This window comes from Homo sapiens, chromosome 6 (genome assembly GCF_000001405.40).
Source record: "Homo sapiens chromosome 6, GRCh38.p14 Primary Assembly".
Taxonomy (NCBI): domain Eukaryota; kingdom Metazoa; phylum Chordata; class Mammalia; order Primates; family Hominidae; genus Homo; species Homo sapiens.
Window position 1 is genome coordinate 319036 of NC_000006.12, and position 19211 is coordinate 338246.

Here is a 19211-nt window from a genome sequence, read left to right on the forward strand (position 1 = left end):
GGTTTGAAAGGACCAGGCCAGACTCCTCAAACTGGTGATTTCCTAGAGAACTAGAATGGGAGGGGAGGGAGGGAAGGATGATTCCCACTTTTTCCTCTATTTAAAAAAAAAAAAAATTCTTGAATTTATTTGTCACAATAAGATCATGTCCAAGTATCTATTCGAGTGAAGACAGTGGGAGAAAGAAGGGAAGGGGGTCTGTGGGCCATGCTCTGGGTGTCTGGTAATGACAGGTAGATTTCATTTGAATGTTCAGGCCTGGCTGGAAGGTGATCTGTGTTTGGCTGCGCTGTGTTCATAGATGCATGTGTGATGCATGATGTCAGGCAAGCTACATCCTGTTGTCCACGGCCGATTGGTACAAAGCAAAGTATGTCATCCACTTTATTTCAGTCATCTTAATCTTCAATCTTCAAAGGGAGAAGATGGCCCAAGACATGTATTTACTGGTCTAGACTTTCTTTCCTGTGTGATCTATTTCTACCTGAATGATTGGACACAAAATGAATCTGTGCCCTTTTTTAGGACTCACAGATGCCCGGGGGATACAGCTTGAAGCACTGGGCAAGATTTCCCATTTGCGTTGGCCATTGTTTCCAGCGTGGGTGAATTCAGCTATCTTACCGAAAAACACTGTGGGTGTCAAGTTGCTAGAAAGGTCCAAGTCTTTTGAAAACCAGTTGCTGTTTGACCTGGAATGGTTTTCAGATTGACAGTTGTTTCCAGCACACCTCAGTTGTTTTCATCTCTCTAGGAAAACCTCTTTGAAGCCACCCAGAATCAGTGGTACTTTGCTGTACCAAAAGCTTACAGCAGCTTTCGTGTGTTGAGGCAAATTTGTTTGAAGCCAACCCCAGATTTAAATAGATATGACTCAAATAGAAATGATTATAGCAGGGATCGAAAACTGTCTAGTAATCGCTCTTTCTTGAAGCAAGCTGTATCTAGGTTTCTCGTGTGGCAGTCGGGTGTGTAAGAGCGGCCCCTCCACTGGCTGGTCCTGCTACCACAGACTCACTTGCAAATGGAGCCCTAGAACTCCTGCATGGCTGGACTCAGAGGGCTTGAGATCTTCCAGTACTTAACTGAGTCTAGGGAGGACATGGTTTTTTAAACTTCTAAATCAAAGAACTCTTTTGGCCTGGCTTCCTAGAGGTACCCTGTCCTTCAGCTGGGGACCTTCTCTCTAGGGCTCGTGCTCACTGACCAGCCTCTCCTTACAACTGAAGACTTTTGCAGGACACTCTTCCTAGATGTTGCCTTCATGTTGAGTCCCGGTGTCTGAGCATTTCCTCCTGACGGCTGTACTTGAGCAGTCACCTGGCACAGGTGTGTGGAGGACTCTGCATTCTTGGAGTGGGTTTCCTGGTTTGCATCTCACCCTGTCCACGTTGGGGAATGTGTGAAGGGCAAGATCTGCCAGGATATCGAAACCAAGGTCTTGGGAGAAGCATGCAGCGCGTGGGCTCCTCCGTGTTCGGACTGAGTGTAGTGTGCATAGACACCACTGCAGCCTGGTTGCCTTTGGGTGCCAAAGTGCCTATCATAGATGGCATGGGCTCTGCCAGTCCACGCAAGGGCTGCATGGTCATGGGCTGGGAGATTTGGGGAAGACTTTGTAAAGAGAGGGGTGTTGAGGCAGCCTTATAGGACTAGTGCGGTTTGACTCAGTGGGGAGGGAGGGTGAGGGGTGTGTCTTCTGTAGGTTTAGTGCTTCAGGGCAGGTCAGGGAGGGGGAGATGAGCCCCACCTGATGATAGAGTGGAGGCGGTGGTCAGTACGGGTGAGGGTGGTGCTGTCTTCAGTTCTCCTTTTGGCTACGTTGGAAGTTGTTACTCCTCCAGACTCAGCAAACATTTATTGAGCACCTACCTTGCAGCAGGGATTGGGGATAAAATACAAAGAGAAGTGAGATGTGTCCCAACATTAAGGATTGACAGGCGTGTAAATCCTTAAAAATGCATACCAGAGGCAAGGGCCCTGGGCACCCAGGGGAGGCGGCTAACACTGCAGGGCAGACAAGACAGCAAGGCTTCACCAAAGGTGAAAATCTGGTGTGGTCCTAAATGATCATAGAGGTTTGCCAGGCAGTGATGGAGATGACAGGTGAGTTGGAGGTGGGATTCTGGGTAGAGAAAGCTGTGTGTGCAGAGGTACAGGGTGCACTAAGGGATGGGGCATGCAAGGGAAGGTGTGTCCTGGCACTTTGGGAGCTCACCAGGGTGGCTGGACTGGAAAAGCAGGCTCAGAGCAGATTAGCAAAGACATTGTTTGTTAAGCTGTGGAGTCTGAACTTCATCTTGCAGTAAGCAGAGACCCAGCAAAGATTCATGAACAAAGCCAGGTGACACATTCCGATTTCTTTTGCAGGATGTTGTCTCAAGGTTAGAGTGGAGTGAGGGAGTTGGGTACCCCAGAGACCCTCGAAAGCTCTTGAAGTAATCCTCGTTAGAAGTGATGAGGGTCTGAACTGGGATGCTGGGGACTGGATATTTTTTAGAAGTGAAAGAGTCAGATTTGATCTGAAAATCTTCCATAAAGTGACATAACAAAGTTGAAAATGAAAGAAGGGGAAAGATTCTCTAGCAAGAATCAAGCAAAAGGAACATGGCATAGTGATAGTTTTTGTGAGATAAAATGGAATTGAAAGCAAAAGAAAAAATAATAATAATTAGGGTAAAGAGGGAAACTACATTAAAAAAAAAGGAACAATCCATTGAGAAGTTACAACAGCCATAAACTCATCAGACGTCTTCAAAATACAGAAAGAGAGTCATTTCTCAGACTGGGGAGTCAGGGATGCCTGAGGGTACAGCTAATTAGGCTATAAGTACCCATGGCTCTGCCATCCAGGGATGTGAGTGCTCCAGGAAACAGAGCTGGGTGGAAGAAAGGGACCAAGCTCAGTCATGGGTGGAATGTTCATGTGATATTCATCACTGGATAGAAATACAGGTCCAGGGCTCAGGAGAGAGGTCTCGGCTGGACGTGAAGATTTGGGCATCACAGTATCACAGTGTATCTACATAGTGTATGCATATCATCTACATAGTGTACACATATCATCTACATAGTGTATACATATCTACATAGTGTATACATATCTACATAGTGTATACATATCATCTACATAGTGTATCTAAGCCATTGCTCTTAAATAAAACCATGGGAGAAAATGCTAGGACAGCATGACTAGGGAATGATGGTGGGGCCATCCTCCAGCGTCTTGCTTTTATGTGGTGTTATGCAATGGAATTCACAGCCTGTGAACACGTGATCTTGGGAGACACACATCTTTGTTACTCCTGTAACCCCTTGTGTGGGTTCTAGTTAGTCTCAGCTCTTCTGAGTGCAGTCCTTGGGGTTCCCTGCAGGGGCGCCTCAGGGTACTCTGGCCCCAGTGTAGAGCTTGAGTTTTGCTTCCCCCAAGCTGAGATTTTGCAGCTTCTCATTCACAGATTCCAACCCAAGAAGACCCTCGTGTTTGGCTGTTTTAGGTGCTGTGGACACTGGAAAGGGGAGACTAGGTGACGTGAATAGCAAGTCTGAAATGCTTTCAGAGGAGATGCAATTCTGTAAGGCGTTTGAAAGAGAAGACAGGCTTAGGTTGGTAGAAACAACCAAGGAGAATATCCGTGGAGAGCATCCACGGAGGGAAAGAGTGTTTCTTGTTCCGGGTCGGGACAGCACCGTGTGTGGCTGGCTGACTAGCAGAAAGCTTAAGCATCATGGTGGTGGTGGTGATGGAAGAGGACATCTAGTCCAGGGAGATTCCGTGGGTTATGGCTGCTTGGTGGGGCGGGGGGGGGCCTTCGAGTCTGCAATAGGAAGTTTGAATGGGAAGTTAAAGGGGGTAGGTTGGTTAAGACCCAAAGCCGGGTTAAAGGGCTCTCTGGGCACCATTGTTGTTTTTAGCCATAAGAAAATGCGCCCTAGTTTACCAAAGACTGGTTTAAGCAAATCTGCTGTTTTCAGGTGCTCTGAATAATCATTGCCTGCTAGGCAATGCAGGTGGACCTTGTGTTTGCCCACACCTGCAAGGGAAGTGCTCCAATCTTATTTTAAAACTCTGAGAGTGAAGCAATAGCACCTAGCTAGTTTCATCACCTTATTACAGGCTGTGAACAAGCTCTGTCCATGCTTTTAAAAATGTGTTCCCCTCTGTGTGGCCAGACTCCCTGGGATGTTTTAAAGGCGTGTGTGCATGTGTGTGTGTGTGTGTGTGTGTTGAGGTGGACAGTATCAAACCCTAGGTTTGAATTGAGAAGTTATTTCCCTCCTTTCAGTTATCACCGCAGCTACTGCCAGCGTCAAGTTTCAGCATTCATCACTGAGCAGGGGCATCGCCAGCTAGCTCTGGCCTTCTTTTCCCATGGGAAAGCAAATGAAATGCATGGTGAAAGTTCTGGGCGTGGGAACGAAGTAGGTGCATCTGAAATCTGAGTTAGAGCTTCTTTCTCTTGAGGTCCAACTTTTTGTTCTCAGGTTTTTCCCCGGCTAGTGGGGGTTAATCCACAAGGCCCTTGGCTCCTTCCGTGAGAGGTGCAGCCACTATCAGTGCAAGGAGAGGACGCGGGGAAGTGGCTCTTAGGGCGTCCCTTTGCCATCTTAGGATGGCTGTATAGGCACAGATTTCCCTGTCAGTTTGTAACTCTGGGGTGAACAGAGCAGAGCTCAGACCTTGGCTTGAGACTCCTACTCTTGGAAATTATTCCTAAGCAGAGGAGTTCAAGGATCATTTCAGCTGTGCTGACCTGGGAGGAGGCAGAGCCTCGCCGGGGTAGAATAGGTACAAATCAAATATATCTATTTTATGAAATACCTTGTTCCAGGAGATCAGCCCCGCAGCACCCAAGTGGAAGCAGTTCGAAGTCTCCTTTACATGATTGTCAGTGAGAGCAGATGGAGAGTGCAATTAAATTGCACTATGGAATGGCTCCACCCTATGCCCTGAAGAAGAAAAGATCTCATAACTAGCAAAGGAAGATAACATTTCCAAGTGTTTTTGGTTTTTGGCTTCCTGGTTTTTAAAAACTGTTCCTTTAAGCTGAGGTTTCCTGCCTTTTCTGATGGAAACCTCTGCAGCTGCTCCTACTTCAGCAGTGGGCTTGCAGCCGCATGGCTACCCCAGTGAGTGTCCTCTAGCCTCCTTGGTGGCCGGAGCACTCTCTTCCCCTGTGCTTCCACATGTGGGCTCTGACCGAGGTGACCTAGGGCCTCCTTCTGTGCCATGCTAGCAGCGGCAGGCGTGGAGAGGGTGGAGGGCTTGGAGGAGTGCCGCCCTTCCTGGGGAGGCCTGGGAGCAGTGACCCGCTCATCCTTAATCAGAGCAAGGAACACGCTCTCCCACCCACACCTGCTGCCGCGAACCTCAGGCAGTGAGTGCCGCGGAGCACAGGAATGCAGCACGTCTCTAATATTAACTTGCTGCATAACAGAGGGGTGTCCCTCCTGGTGTTGAGGAGAAACAGAAGAGCCGCTGTTCTCATTTCTCTCCACTCTCCCACCCCGTGGACGTTCTTTCTGCCCTGAGCTCCCGTGGCACTCACCACGTCCAGCCTTTGCGTGTCTTGAGCCTCAGCCCTGCCCATGCAGAACTGGCCAGCCCTGGAGGGCAGCACCCTGCTCTGGGTCAGTGTTTGCCTCTTTCTCAAAACAGCTTCTAGAGTATGATCCCAGAGGGAGGATGTGGTGTTCGGCTGGAGGGATCATCCGTGCTGTTTAGAAAGGGCTTCCTAGATGCTGCAGATTGTGTCCAAGCCTGAAGACAAGCGGCAGTCTACAAAGCCTGTAACCCATCTGCAGCTGAGGGACCCATTCCATCACCAGCGAGGGGCTCCGAGAGCTCACTGGCTTAGCCAACTGCAAAACAGGCACAGTGTTCCCAGCAGCGCTTCGTGCCTCCCTAAGGAGGGAGCTGTGTTTAAGGCAGGCTGCCGCATCCTGCCGGGAAGGGGAGGCTGGCTCAGGGAGATAGGTACAGCACACAGCTTGAAGAGCAGTGTGGCCCTCTCCCTGCTGGTGCCTGGAGAGTCATCTGCCCTGGGCTTCCGCATCCTCGTGTGTGCAGTGCTGTACCTGCTGGTGCCTAGAGAGTCATCTGCCCTGGGCTTCTGCGTCCTGGTGTGTGCAGTGCTGTATCTGCTGGTGCCTGGAGAGTCATCTGCCCTGGGCTTCCGCGTCCTGGTGTGTGCAGTGCTATATCTGCTGGTGCCTGGAGAGTCATCTGCCCTGGGCTTCCGCGTCCTGGTGTGTGCAATGCTGTATCTGCGGGTGCCTGGAGAGTCATCTGCCCTGGGCTTCTGCATCCTGGTGTGTGCAGTGCTGTATCTGCTGGTGCCTGGAGTCATCTGCCCTGGGCTTCTGCGTCCTGGTGTGTGCAGTGCTGTACCTGCTGGTGCCTGGAGAGTCATCTGCCCTGGGCTTCCGTATCCTGGTGTGTGCAGTGCTGTATCTGCTGGTGCCTGGAGAGTCATCTGCCCTGGGCTTCCGCGTCCTGGTGTGTGCAATGCTGTATCTGCGGGTGCCTGGAGAGTCATCTGCCCTGGGCTTCTGCATCCTGGTGTGTGCAATGCTGTATCTGCTGGTGCCTGGAGTCATCTGCCCTGGGCTTCTGCATCCTCGTGTGTGCAGTGCTGTACCTGCTGGTGCCTGGAGTCATCTGCCCTGGGCTTCCGCATCCTCGTGTGTGCAGTGCTGTACCTGCTGGTGCCTGGAGAGTCATCTGCCCTGGGCTTCTGCGTTCTGGTGTGTGCAGTGCTGTATCTGCTGGTGCCTGGAGAGTCATCTGCCCTGGGCTTCCGCGTCCTGGTGTGTGCAATGCTGTATCTGCTGGTGTCTGGAGTCATCTTCCCTGGGCTTCTGCGTCCTGGTGTGTGCAGTGCTGTATCTGCTGGTGCCTGGAGAGTCATCTGCGCTGGGCTTCTGCGTCCTGGTGTGTGCAATGCTGTATCTGCTGGTGCCTGGAGAGTCATCTGCCCTGGGCTTCTGCGTTCTGGTGTGTGCAGTGCTGTATCTGCTGGTGCCTGGAGAGTCATCTGCCCTGGGCTTCCCCGTCCTGGTGTGTGCAATGCTGTATCTGCTGGTGCCTGGAGAGTCGTCTTCCCTCGGCTTCTGTGTCCTGGTGTGTGCAGTGCTGTATCTGCTGGTGCCTGGAGAGTCATCTGCCCTGGGCTTCTGCGTCCTGGTGTGTGCAATGCTGTATCTGCTGGTGCCTGGAGTCATCTTCCCTGGGCTTCTGCGTCCTGGTGTGTGCAGTGCTGTATCTGCTGGTGTCTGGAGAGTCATCTGCCCTGGGCTTCTGCGTTCTGGTGTGTGCAGTGCTGTATCTGCTGGTGCCTGGAGTCATCTGCCCTGGGCTTCCGCGTCCTGGTGTGTGCAGTGCTGTATCTGCTGGTGCCTGGAGTCATCTGCCCTGGGCTTCTGCGTCCTGGTGTCTGCAATGCTGTATCTGCGGGTGCCTGGAGAGTCATCTGCCCTGGGCTTCCGCGTCCTGGTGTGTGCAGTGCTGTATCTGCTGGTGCCTGGAGAGTCATCTGCCCTGGGCTTCTGCGTCCTGGTGTGTGCAGTGCTGTATCTGCTGGTAATTATGCAGATGGGATTGCCCTTGAGGGAGAGTCACTGGCAAATCCTGTCTACTACCATTTATTGAGCATCTACTGTGTTCTGGCACTGCACTTAGTATTTTTCACATGTCACATTGACTTTCCTTGTTTAAAGTCCTGTGTTCAAGGGAAATCCTTCTGTCCCTCTCTGCATCAGAGCAAAGGAGAATTGAGCACAGCTGCAGATTAAGAATGCTGCAATTCTAAGAAGGTGGTGTGCTGTATCAGATGTCATTTAAATGGAGAAGACAAATGGGATGTGCAAAACAAGCTGTCACCATCAGAATGACTTTGTGCAATGGGACTGTCTAGACCGAGGCTTGGCACGCTTTGGCTGTCAAGGCCCAGGGAATATTTGGGGCTTTGGGGACTTCTGCTGCAGCTACTGTAGCCTCCACCATGAGGTGAGGGGCCACAGACAATACGTGAATCAGTGGGCACAGCTGTGCCCCGTGAACATGGGCCCTAGTTCACCCACCCTGGGCTTCGCTGTTGGGCAGCAGGAGCATTACTGAGAGGAAACTAAGAGCTTCCAGGAGCCCAGCCAGGTCTGAATCTTGGGGCTGGGTAGCCCCCAGTTTAATGCAGCCCCAGAAATGCCCAGCATCTTTGCCTTGTCTTTGCCTGTCATGGTTTTCTGTGTGGGAGCGTGCACTCACCACGTCCAGCAGAGCCCCATTTACAGCTGGAGGAGAGTGAAGGTGGAGGCCGGCCCGCACTGGACGGTGACTCCAGGGCTACCTGCAGGTGCCGTGGCCAGCCTGGGAGCAGTGCTGTCAGGGCGCATTGGGTTGGTGGCCACATGTTTAAAATTCTGAAATGGCATGTCCCTCCTCATGCATTCCTTTCTTCATTTGGAACCGTTTACAGGAGAGAGGTGCCAGGAGACTGATAGATGATGACCACAGCCGTGGGAGTTCGAGGAATCTGGGGTCTAGTGAGAGAGACTGGCCCTTCACACGCAGTGCCAGTCCTCTGTGCCAGGGCCATGCGCCTGTGTGCTGCTGGTGGTGTGGGGGCCCAGCGTGGGGCTGAAGTCTGCTAAGGGGGAGGCCGAGGAGGTGAGGGAAGGCTCCACAGAGAGCCTGGTGGGTATGTCAGGGAGGTTTTACTGAGAAGAGCCACGCAGAAAGCCTATTCCAGAGAGAGAAAACCACAGGGACTTGGCAGGATGGCCGGGAGCAGGGAAGCACAGAACATGTGGGGAGACTAACAGCAGCCCAGGGTTGCTGGAGTTTGAGGAGCGAGGGGTGGTAGGAGGGAGAGATCATGGATGTGAGGTCAGGAAGGGGGTTGTGGACAGATGCTGAAGCACTGTGAAAATGGGTCTTCTCTACTTTGCAGACAGAGAGGAGCCACTGAATATTTTTCAGCAGCTGAGATGTGTGATCAGATAATGTTTGTAAGAGATAAATTTTTCCCTGGTGATACGTACAGAGAACACTCCTAGAATATCTGCTGCTGATTTCTAAGCAGCAGCTTTCACTCATGGCAGTTTTTTGAGATGGGTTGTTCAGGCTTCACCTTCATTAAGTAATACCACGGAATGCCTTGGTCCCAAGTGACTGCTGAAACTGGCCCAGTTTTCATGAGTCACAATTGTGTACATCAGCAAGTCCTGCAGCTGAACTGAAAGCACCCGGTAGGGCTTTCAGTGGTGAGACGGAGCTAGAGTGAATCTCCCTCACTGCCTTCCCATAACCCAGCCCGTACTGGCTGGAGGAAATCCAACATTCTGACCGTGCCCACTTTAGCCTTGCACTGAAATATCTTGAACAAAAATAAGCTTTTGAGTTCTCATCTGTTGATCTGACAAGTCAAATGCATGTCGGTTTTTGACTAACCTGAAAGAAGTCACAGGTGTTGGAGGTTTCTCATTTGCATGTTGTCTCACAGTATCAAACCAGAGGCTAAATCTTGTCTCTCCACTCTGACCTCCTGCTCCCTCCCCGCCCCATCAGTACCACAGAGTTCTTGGAAGTTATTATTTGTAGTACGGTTTCCTAAATTTAGCTGATGCAGGAAGAATCAGTGGCAAATGGGTGCTTTAAGAAAATACATCTTCAGTTTAGAACCTGGACTTAAAACATGAATAATGCAGCCTAACTAATGGAGCATATTTATCTGCCGTGGCGGCTTTCTGCAGTAATTTATTTGGGACTTTTGCTGTGATGCAAACAAAAAAGAGAGGAGAGGTCTTGTCTGCTGGACCTTGCCTATTTTTTGTGTTGACTTCCAGTACTTAGTCCATAGGCATACGTAAGTTTTTCCAGGTGTAATCTTCCTTGGGATGGGATTTCGAATTCTGCTTTTTCCCTTTAACCTTACATAATTTCTACAAATGTTATGGGCTATGTGAAAGTCATACCTGGAGGAGAAATAATCAAAATGCATGTGCCACGCACCGAGCTGGGCTGCCACACACGTAAATGAGCATTCTCTTATGCTTTCTGTGGAATAAAGACACCTTGCAAAGAGGAGACAGCTCATCAAACCTGCAGGGTGCCTCAAAAAGCAATTTCAGGTTCCTGATTGCCATCTCCTGGGTCTACGATCTTCAAGAGTGTGGCCAGACGGTTTTCACAGTTTGCTTGCTGTCAGGTTTATATGAAAGTGCAGCAGTCAGATTCATAGAGATAGAAAGGTGAAAGGTGGTTGTCAAGGGCTGCGAGGAATGAGGAGTTATTACTTAATAGGTGCAGAGTTTTACTTTAGGAGAATGAAAAAGTCCTGGAGACGGGTGAGGTGATGGCTGCACAACAGTGTGAATGTACTTAAGGCCACTGAACTGTACGCCTTAAATGGTTACGATGGTAAATCTTTGCTTTTTTTTGAGACAGAGTCTCGCTATATCCCAGACTGGAGTGCAGTGGTGTGATCTCGGCTCACTGCAACCTCCACCTCCTGGGTTCAAGCGATTCTCCTGCCTCAGCCTCCTGAGTAGCTGGGATTACAAGTGCATGCCACCACGCCTGGCTAATTTTTGTATTTTTTAGTAGAGACGGGGTTTTACCATGTTGGCCAGGCTGGTCTCGAACTCCTGACCTCGTGGCTCACCTGCCTTGCCCTCCCAAAGTGCTGGGATTGCAGGCATGAGCCACCATGCCCAGCCTACGATGATAAATCTTATGTGTATTTTACCACAAAATAGTATAGAGAGAGGCTGTCTCCAATGAGAGAGTCTTCTGCTGTGTGTGTTTCTCATCATAGTGTTACAAGCTGTGACCTTGCTTCTGATCAGGGGAGGAGTGGTTCAAATTTAAATTTGGCTTTTAATTCTTTTTTTTTTTTTCAGGGTCAGGCTTCTGGGAATGTGGTGAAAGTCGCTCTTGAGAGTTCGCTGGCTGGTTTCGCTCAGTTGTTAATTGTGGTGGAGGGTCAGTGTGAATACAGAGTGTGTGTACAGGGGCCACACAGGCCGGTGAAGCAGGGCACCCGGCACCTCCCTCATGGGACTCATTTTCAAATAACAGACACCATTGCTGGAGGAGGACCCCCCTGGGCTCACCATACCGTCACTGCTGCCGCACAGGCTGAGATGAGAAACCGGGGCTTCTAGTGGTGACATGTTTATTAGCAGCCAAAATGACGTTTCCATTGCGTGGTTTCCTGATCCTGGCCCTTAGGAACTTGCTCTCCCCCTCCTTGTGTTTTGAAGAGGCTCCTGCAGGGATCCAGTTCTGTCCTGTAACTGGTTTCTGTTGGCTTTGAGAGGAGAGAGACATGGCTTCTGAAGGGTTTATCTTCCTTGTGCAAAGCAGAATGTCAGCTGGGCTCTTGAGAAGACTCTCCTTCTTACAACGCCTCAGAAAGAAAAGAACAGTGAATGTTAGAAATCATGCTTGAAACAAGCGAGAGTTTGATCTCTTTCTTTACCAGTCGTGAAATCAGAACCTTGGCCCTGCTTTTCAGGGACCTGCCTCCGTATCGTTTTAAGTGTAATCTTTAGTTTCAGGCCCAAAGAAAGGTAAAAACCTTACTTTTGGTGGTTACTATACTTGTTGAAACAGAAAACTGAAAAGTATTTAGAACTTTTGAGAAGATGGACTCAGGCAGCTCTAAGCTCTGGTTTGAAGAGCCGCTGGAAAACCTTCTGAACTTTCTTCTCCTCCAAGTGACGTCTGTTGTTTCTTTCAAAACCTAAACACAAAACCTTCACTAGAAAGCTGTCCTTAGCAGATCCCCCATCTCTCCTGCCTCTTTGCAGCATCTTCCAAATTTTTACATCACGTGGTTTTATACCGGTTGTTCTATACTAATTGTTTTATACATGCTGCTTGGCGTTAGTAATATACGGTGTACACCTGGTCCCCTCAACACAGGTAGAGACTGTTCCTTACTTCTTCCCCCTTTTCCTCTCCTGGTACTCACTTCGTCATGTTACGCCACTTAAAATGCCATCATCGCTGCTCTTTCTTTGTCCTCATAGAAATCATGACGGTCTTGAAGCAAACACAGAGCCCATTTTTCTTAACTGAGCTTGTTTTTGTATTTCAGTGTACTCGAGATTGAAGCACCGTAACTTGACGTTTAATAGCCTCATAAAACTGTGATGTTAATTGGCTTTCCACCAATCCACTGTTTTGGAACATCGTGGAAAGTGCTGAATTCTTATTTATTTAGTGAGACTTTTATTGCTACAGGAAGACAACCCATTTTATCTTTACTTTTTCAAATATTAGAGGTAGTATGAGGGAGTGAATACCTTACAGCAAACACTGTACTAATGGAAACATTGCTGTTATCTTCATTACTTACAAATTTTTCAGATTGTTCTAGAATTTTTATTGCTTTTTTTTTAACCTCCAAGTTTGTTATACTTTCCATAATTTATCTAAACTTATCCTGTCCTTTATTTCTATTTCTGTAAACTTCAAAACCGGAGAGTGGTCCTGTCTTGAGGACCTATTTGGTGAAACCATCTATTCCACATCACATTAAAACATTTGCAGAACTTATTCATTAGTACTAGGATACTTTTAAGTGGGCCAGCTTTCTTGTGGCACTGGGGGACTCATGCTGCTTTCTGAATTAGTAATTAACTGTCATGAATTGTACACATGTGCAGGTATCTGAAGCTGTTCTAAGGTAACTCAAATTCTGTAGTCTGTGGCTTGGGAGAGACTTTTCATGCTTTGTTAATAACTAAACCAAGATAAATAGATGTTCTTAGGTGGCGAGCAGCTGAACCTTTTTGACAGTTTTGACTCCTTCCTTGACTGAGTTTGCATATTCTTATTGTGGATCACGCCGACTGGCTCTCAGCTGCGTCCTGTTGCAGTGGCCAGGAGGGACGCTGGTGTCCCTTGAGCATGTGTGGGTGGCTTGCTGTTTGCATGGTGTGGGCTGAAGCCCAGCTCTCGTTTCGTGGTCACTGGCACAAATGATGGTGCTTTACAGTATTTTTCTTTCCTTGCACTCATCTGGCAGTGTGATCTTTGTGTTCATTGTTCTCATCCTCTGTCTCATCACTCTGCAGACATTTCAGTGAGTGCCTGCTGTGTGCCGGGCACCCTTGCAGGGAAGCTTGTTATCATTGCTGTTGTCATTCTGTCTTCAACAGAATATAATCTTGACTCAGGTTTTCTATTTTTATCTGTCCTGCCTTAGCAGCAGGTGGTCCCCAAATTGTGGTTGGGAGCCATTTTGTTCCTCTTCAGAGGATTCACAGATGGGAGGCTGCAGCTCCACACGCCCACCCCAGCGACTGTGGGCAGGGGCCAGCATGGCCAAGAGCTGCCTCCTCATCCTGGTGGTTCCCAGATGGAGAGATAGCCTTTGCCGTCTTCCTGTGGGTAGATTCTCGTGCCCACCTGACAAGGTGCTCCTGCCTCATGGGACCAGCCTGAGTTGGTCCTTTTGCTCATCGGGTGCCACAAAGGGGAACACAACCACACATGGAGACTGCCCATAGGAAGCACAATACTGTCCAGTCCCACGGCTGGTATTTATAGCCAGCAAAGAGCTATTCAGCAGACCCTCTGTCCATTCTCTTCCTGTCCTTCTTTTTTTTTTTTTTTCTTTCCTCTTGATATATAGACTAGGCTGATTTTAGATTCTGCTGGAATAAAGTGGCTGTCAGTCAACATCTGGGGGACGCCGGCATTTCCATCTCGTCTTAAGCTTCCTTGCCAGATGGAAGTCGCTGACACTGAAGATGGCACTAGAAGGGAAGGTGGGAACTTGAGGCTCCTTCTGGTCTGTCTGGAGGTGCTGGTCTCCAAGGAGCGTGGAGGGAGAGTGTGGGAGGAAAGGATTTCACAAGCTTCTGGACTGATCGACTGCCAACTCTCACTTAAGAGTAAAAGGAAAGAAGTGAATGAGTCATTTCAATGGTGGCTGCAGGAGGTGATCAATGTATGTGCATCTATACCAACAAGCTTGTTTGGCCTCCACGAAGGAAAGGACTGAAATTACTTTTAACAATAATACTTCCTTTTCCGTTTGTTTTCCCTTGAAGTCCGAGCTGTAATACCACTCTAGGTTTGAAGATACTTTCAGTGTTCCCAGCAGAGCACAGCCCACAAGCCCAGGAGAAATGAGGACAGAGACAGGAGGAGGCAACTGGGGATAACAAAGTGAAGGCAAAGGAGGGAGAAGCTGCTGCCTCACTTTCCTCTTCCACCAGCAGATTCTAAATTAACCCTTGGCATGGTTGAAGCCCATTTGGTCTTAAGTGAGATGTTCCCATGTGGATAAACAGCAATAAAGTTCATCTCCTTCAAGACCCAAAAGGGCCTTTATTGGAAGGTGTAAAGATTGATTTAAAGCTGGAAACAAAATGTACAGAAACTGTGAGGGAGAAAACGTTTTTGATTCAAAGCATACAGAAACTGTGAGGGGAAAGATGTTTTTCTGACCCCTCATCATTGTGGATGAGGCAAGAGGGAATTCTCTCACTTAGGTGTTAGTTGCAGTGAACAGATCCTGCTCTGACTCAGTTTCAGCAGGAAACAGCTTTTACTAAGAGAGACTGAAAGCTCATGGTTCCCTCAGAATAGATGGAGAACAGGTTTTAGGCTGAAGTTCAGGAGTGATCCCCAGAAAACTGGCCCCAAGCTCAGCGCCCACTTTGCCCCGAGCCAGCCCACCCCTGCCCCACCTGCCCCGCAAAGAGCATGTGCTCTGCCCCCGCCCTGCGCCCACGAAGCCCACGTGTGCTTCCCGGATCCCACTCAGTAGCTGCCGATCCGACTCCTGAGGGCCAGGTGGGGAGTCCCTAATCGCGAGGGAGGTTGGGACATGAAGTGTGTCTGGTGCCTGTATTGGAAAAGTAGGACTCACAATGTCAGGGGCTATTAAAATGTGTAGGAGGTGTGGAAGGATTAGGGGCAGCTACACATTTAGTTGTCCCTATTGGCAAATACAGCACAGAAATTCCTAACAATAGGAGTTAATGGTAAAAGTTTAATTAAAAATGCAGAAATTATTTGTGACTAATTACTGAAGATGCGTTGCGTTGTAACTCCATCTTCTGAGAACCTGAGGTTGTCTGTGTCCCTCTTCTGCCTCTGTGCTTTTATTCTCCAAGGTTGGCTACTTCTCCAGTGTCTGATGTGTACCCCTAACATTGTCTGTGACACGGTGGCAAGATTCTGTGAGATTAGGCAATTAAGAGAGGAATAATTTAAAAATGATTCATCTAATTCTTCATCAGGCCATAATCTCTTACAAAGAGAATATCAGATTTTTATGTTTTGTGTTTCTACTTGACAGAGCTTTTGAAACATTCTTTCAGTCCCTCCGAAAGAGAAACAGCCATTTTTTTTTTTAAATAAATCTCACATTTAGCATGCCTGTTGTAGCATGGATTTACATAAACCTTTTTCTGAGTTTTATAGAGGAGTATATGAAGTTTATTTTTTTCAAATTTGGCCATTCTTTAAAAAAGAAAAAAGTATTTTTGTTTGATATATAAACCTTTATTGTCCTGAAAAGCAAGCAAAATAAAACAAATTATCCCCAGGGTAAAGCTCGTATTGGTGCGTCAGTGAAATTGTAGCTGTCATGGTACTAAAATTGATGTAGAAAGCTGTAATGTGACATTATAGTTTTCACTCTTGTTAAGGTTTTTACTTACGAACAGTGCTTCCTTTTTGAACATTCAGAATCCTAAATGAAATATATAAAAAATTTGGAATATATAAACTAACATCTGAGATGCTGGTTTTGAAAGTAGTTGAAACTTACTGAAAAGTACTCAACTATTTCACTTTTTTGATGTGCCCTTTGAATTTTGCCTAAACCTACAGGCTGTTTGCAAACCAAAGCAGGATTATTTGTACGCATGGTCACGGAAAATAACCAGGAACTTTAATTAGTTTTTCTGCAGTTCCTTGGCAACAAAAGATGAGTGAAAAACTTCTCCTTTTTATTTTTTTATTTTTTGACCTGTGTAAATAGTTCCTTAAATACTTTTCTCCACTGAGTTTCATGTTTTTATTTTTATGTATTTACTTTTTATTATTCTGCAGGGAGTTAAATACCTGTGCATCCCAGCAGCGGATTCACCATCTCAAAACCTGTAAGTTTCTTATTTCTGTATTATTTGGAGACATTTAAAAAAATGAATAGAGGATGGTAAAGTCAGAGAAGTAGAAGACTGTGAAGTTGTCAGAGCTCACGGGACCCTTGCTGACCCTGCCAGGGAAGAGGCTGTGAGCCTACAGAGGCCAACGCTAGGCAGGCTGGGATGAGCTGTGGCAGGAGGCTCCTTGTGGTTGACTGGTCCTTCCATTATGCAGAGAGACTCATGGGCTGTCCACAAGAAGGGTCTGATGTTTACAAAGGATACCTTAAACCTTTAGTATGCTCATCTTTCCTCTAGAAATAAAACCGTGAAGGATTTGTTGGGTTCTGTCTAAAGCAGCGCTGTCCAATAGAAATAGATAGTGAGCCACAAATGGGCAGTTTTAAATTTTCTAGGAGCCACATTTTAAACAGCAAACAGAAACAGACAACATTAATTCTAATAATATATTTTACTTAATCCAGTGTATCTAAAATATTATTTTGATATGTACTCAATATAAAAAATTAATGAGCAAGTTTATGTCCTTCTTTCATACGAAGTCTGGGGGCTCTGGCGTGCTGTTTCATACTTGGCACATCTCCGTTCAGACCAGCTGTGTTTCCAGGGCTTGAGAACCCCAGGAGGCTGGCGGCTGCCTTATGGGGCAGCATGCTGGCTAAAGCCTGGCGGAGTGGAATGAATAGGTCGTTGTGGCTTAGGAAAGTCCAGTCCTCTATTTCTTCATAGCAGAATAAACCTTTGATGTTATTTTAACTCTGCACCTATAGAGAGATTCATAATTGTTCCCTTTTCCATATTGAAGAAATCCCGTGGAGACAGATAGGATTAGGTTTTGGCAAGATAAGGGATAGGGCTCTGGGGACCCGTGGCAGCTACAGCTTTAGCAGTCCGTCTTGGCTGTATAGAAGGGACCTGGAAATATCATGATGTGGAGTAGATTACAGTTTTCCTGAAGCACACATCTGACTTGTGCAGGCTGAAAGGCTGGGGCTGGAAGTAAAGTACTTAGCATCCCATGCCACTGAGTCTGGCCTCTGATTCTCAGGTTGGCCCAGTGCTATATGCCACAGGTCAAAGACACAGCAACCCTCCTAGAACTGTGTGTTACTGCATGTCACAGGGAAGTTGTAGGCTGTGGTGAAGTTTGTGAATTTGGGAGTCCTCAGGCTCGTCTGGATTCCCCTTTTATGCCCCAAGCACTGGTGCACGCACACCCTATGGATCAGGAGTGCAGACCATGTGCCCCAATGTTCAGGACCCTAGGTGTGCCACCACTCTGGGAGTTATTGAACGCTGGCCATCAGCCGACCTTGAGCCTTCACTGGGGCAGAGCAGAGAAATCACAGGTTATGCGATAATTTTGTGAGATCTACCTTTTTGGGAAAAAAAATAGAGCTGGAGTAAGATGGGTTGACATGGGAAAAGTGAGGTGGTAGATCAGGAGGGGAACGGGAGGTGGGAAGCTGGAGCCACTGTGTGCTCCCCAGGGGCTGTGTTTCCACATGCACTCTTGATATTTCACAGAAAGGTGAACGTTTAAGATTGAGGATGGTGGAGGGGGGATTTTCCTAGGAAAACAGAGTAGCACTCTAGGCCTGGAAGGAGGAGAAGCAGCATTAGAGAACTTCCTTGGTTACTAGTCGTGTCAAGAAACAGAAGTGGTTGGAAGGCATGGTGCACACGGAAGGAAGTGAGCCACTGCCTTTCTCTGAAGACCATAGCAATCTTCTGCCCATGTTTTGGTGGCTATTTTTAGAATGGTTGCTTTGCTCTTATCTCAAACCGAGATTCTGACATGCTGTTGAACTTGTCAGTACCTGATTGGCAATTTGATTCTTTAGAAGAAAAACTCAGATGTGACCCACTCTGGGCTCTGGACATCTGCTGTCAGTGCAGGTGGCTACCTGTCCTTGAGCTGTCCCCAGTGCTTCTCAGCTTTGCTAGGAGCTGAGTGCTCTCTTGTCTGTGACAGTGACCTGATTTAAGCGTGGAGTGACCCCTTGCACTATAGACAAGTAAGTAGTAGGCGTAGATGTTAGAAAATCTCAACTGTAAAGCCAGTTACACCTACCTTGGGCAGGTCATTTTAACCCATCTACACCTCCATTCTCCCATCTGAAAATGCCTGCCCTCAGGGTTTTTGGAGGCAAGGGCATGTATGTGAAGGTGTTTTCTGCGAACTCTGAGCACTTGTAAAACTGAGTCTGTTTTCACTCAGCGTATATTAATGTATCTTGAGAGTTACAGAAAAGGTAGTTGCAATAACAAGTTTTGGTGCCCAGGAAGCCTGCTTCAGTTACTTGAGAGACCTGCTGACATGGAGGGACAGGGGAGACAGAGATATGCCAGCTTCTTCTCTGAGTTCTAGGTCTCGTGGGTCAGTTCAGATCATCTGTCAAAACCAGCCTAATTCCAGTCACCTTTGGTGCTGAAGGACTAGCCCATACTTTTTCTTTTTAAAATACGTATAGATTTAGGGGTTGCAGGTGCAATTTTGTTACATGGATATAAGGCTTAATGGCAAAGTCTGGACTTTTAGCGCATCCGTCACCCGAATAGTGAACGTTTTACTCTTTAAGCAATTTTTCACCCCTCACCTCCTCCTACCCTTTTAATTAGTTCTCTCCTATCCCAAATATGTGAAGAGGTCCTGTTAAGTTTATGGTTTGCTTTTGTAACTCTTTCTTTGGCTGGATGACTGGCTCTTGGCCTTTGATGTATCTGGATGACAAAGAGTTACAAAGGCAAACTAGAAACGTGGGTGGGCTTAGGGGTTAGGTAGGTGTGGCAGTGCCGTGTCTGGGGCTTGTGAGTGGAGGATGCGCCGTGCTGCACTCTCCAGTGAAGCTACGACAGTAAGACTTCTGTTTCAGCTGAAAAAGGAAGTCAGGACCGTAGCTCATGAAAAGGTGGGGAAAAGTGGACACTCTGCTGTTGGGAGTCATGCTCTTGTGTGATTTTTGGGGGAAACGTTTATTTTTAACCCATTAGTAACAGCAAATCTTGTGAATAAGTAAGGCTTCGACACACATATGTCCATGACTGTAAATATTGCTTGCTGTACTAAAGTTATG

At 47.6% G+C, this 19211-nt stretch overlaps 1 protein-coding gene across 7 annotated transcripts in view, besides 10 other annotated features; it reads left to right on the top strand.

The window, feature by feature from the left end:
- Positions 1 to 19211, top strand: part of DUSP22 (dual specificity phosphatase 22) — a 58869-nt gene that overhangs the window by 26549 nt on the left and 13109 nt on the right. For 3 of the 7 annotated variants that reach the window (NR_104474.3, NM_001286555.3, NM_020185.6), the window contains one exon: positions 16079 to 16128. The exons of 2 other annotated variants lie outside the window; for them this stretch is intronic. Coding sequence is in view for 4 of the 5 variants with exons in the window: in NM_001286555.3 (NP_001273484.1) it covers positions 16079 to 16128 (50 nt within the window). In the remaining variant the exon portion in view is untranslated. Of the gene's footprint in view, positions 1 to 16078; positions 16129 to 18970; positions 19047 to 19211 lie in introns of those variants that run through there. 2 more of the 7 variants (XM_011514757.3, XM_017011062.2) reach the window with 1 other exon arrangement.
- Positions 295 to 344: an enhancer, noted in NCBI's record as "active region_23825". NCBI's record gives its function as "activates an Ori minimal core promoter by ATAC-STARR-seq in GM12878 lymphoblastoid cells {active_cell/tissue: GM12878}" and the evidence as "EXISTENCE:reporter gene assay evidence [ECO:0000049][PMID:35858748]".
- Positions 425 to 484: an enhancer, noted in NCBI's record as "active region_23826". NCBI's record gives its function as "activates an Ori minimal core promoter by ATAC-STARR-seq in GM12878 lymphoblastoid cells {active_cell/tissue: GM12878}" and the evidence as "EXISTENCE:reporter gene assay evidence [ECO:0000049][PMID:35858748]".
- Positions 1265 to 1564: an enhancer, noted in NCBI's record as "active region_23827". NCBI's record gives its function as "activates an Ori minimal core promoter by ATAC-STARR-seq in GM12878 lymphoblastoid cells {active_cell/tissue: GM12878}" and the evidence as "EXISTENCE:reporter gene assay evidence [ECO:0000049][PMID:35858748]".
- Positions 4300 to 4509: an enhancer, noted in NCBI's record as "active region_23828". NCBI's record gives its function as "activates an Ori minimal core promoter by ATAC-STARR-seq in GM12878 lymphoblastoid cells {active_cell/tissue: GM12878}" and the evidence as "EXISTENCE:reporter gene assay evidence [ECO:0000049][PMID:35858748]".
- Positions 5020 to 5831: an enhancer, noted in NCBI's record as "H3K4me1 hESC enhancer chr6:324055-324866 (GRCh37/hg19 assembly coordinates)". NCBI's record gives its function as "activates a minimal SCP1, AML or CMV promoter by ChIP-STARR-seq in naive H9 embryonic stem cells {active_cell/tissue: H9 hESC(naive)}" and the evidence as "EXISTENCE:reporter gene assay evidence [ECO:0000049][PMID:30033119]".
- Positions 9689 to 9748: an enhancer, noted in NCBI's record as "active region_23829". NCBI's record gives its function as "activates an Ori minimal core promoter by ATAC-STARR-seq in GM12878 lymphoblastoid cells {active_cell/tissue: GM12878}" and the evidence as "EXISTENCE:reporter gene assay evidence [ECO:0000049][PMID:35858748]".
- Positions 10508 to 11707: an enhancer, noted in NCBI's record as "BRD4-independent group 4 enhancer chr6:329543-330742 (GRCh37/hg19 assembly coordinates)". NCBI's record gives its function as "activates an origin of replication core promoter dependent on BRD2, P300/CBP, MED14 and CDK7 cofactors, and independent of BRD4, by STARR-seq in HCT116 cells {active_cell/tissue: HCT116}" and the evidence as "EXISTENCE:reporter gene assay evidence [ECO:0000049][PMID:35650434]".
- Positions 12534 to 12643: an enhancer, noted in NCBI's record as "active region_23830". NCBI's record gives its function as "activates an Ori minimal core promoter by ATAC-STARR-seq in GM12878 lymphoblastoid cells {active_cell/tissue: GM12878}" and the evidence as "EXISTENCE:reporter gene assay evidence [ECO:0000049][PMID:35858748]".
- Positions 13124 to 13203: an enhancer, noted in NCBI's record as "active region_23831". NCBI's record gives its function as "activates an Ori minimal core promoter by ATAC-STARR-seq in GM12878 lymphoblastoid cells {active_cell/tissue: GM12878}" and the evidence as "EXISTENCE:reporter gene assay evidence [ECO:0000049][PMID:35858748]".
- Positions 13224 to 13393: an enhancer, noted in NCBI's record as "active region_23832". NCBI's record gives its function as "activates an Ori minimal core promoter by ATAC-STARR-seq in GM12878 lymphoblastoid cells {active_cell/tissue: GM12878}" and the evidence as "EXISTENCE:reporter gene assay evidence [ECO:0000049][PMID:35858748]".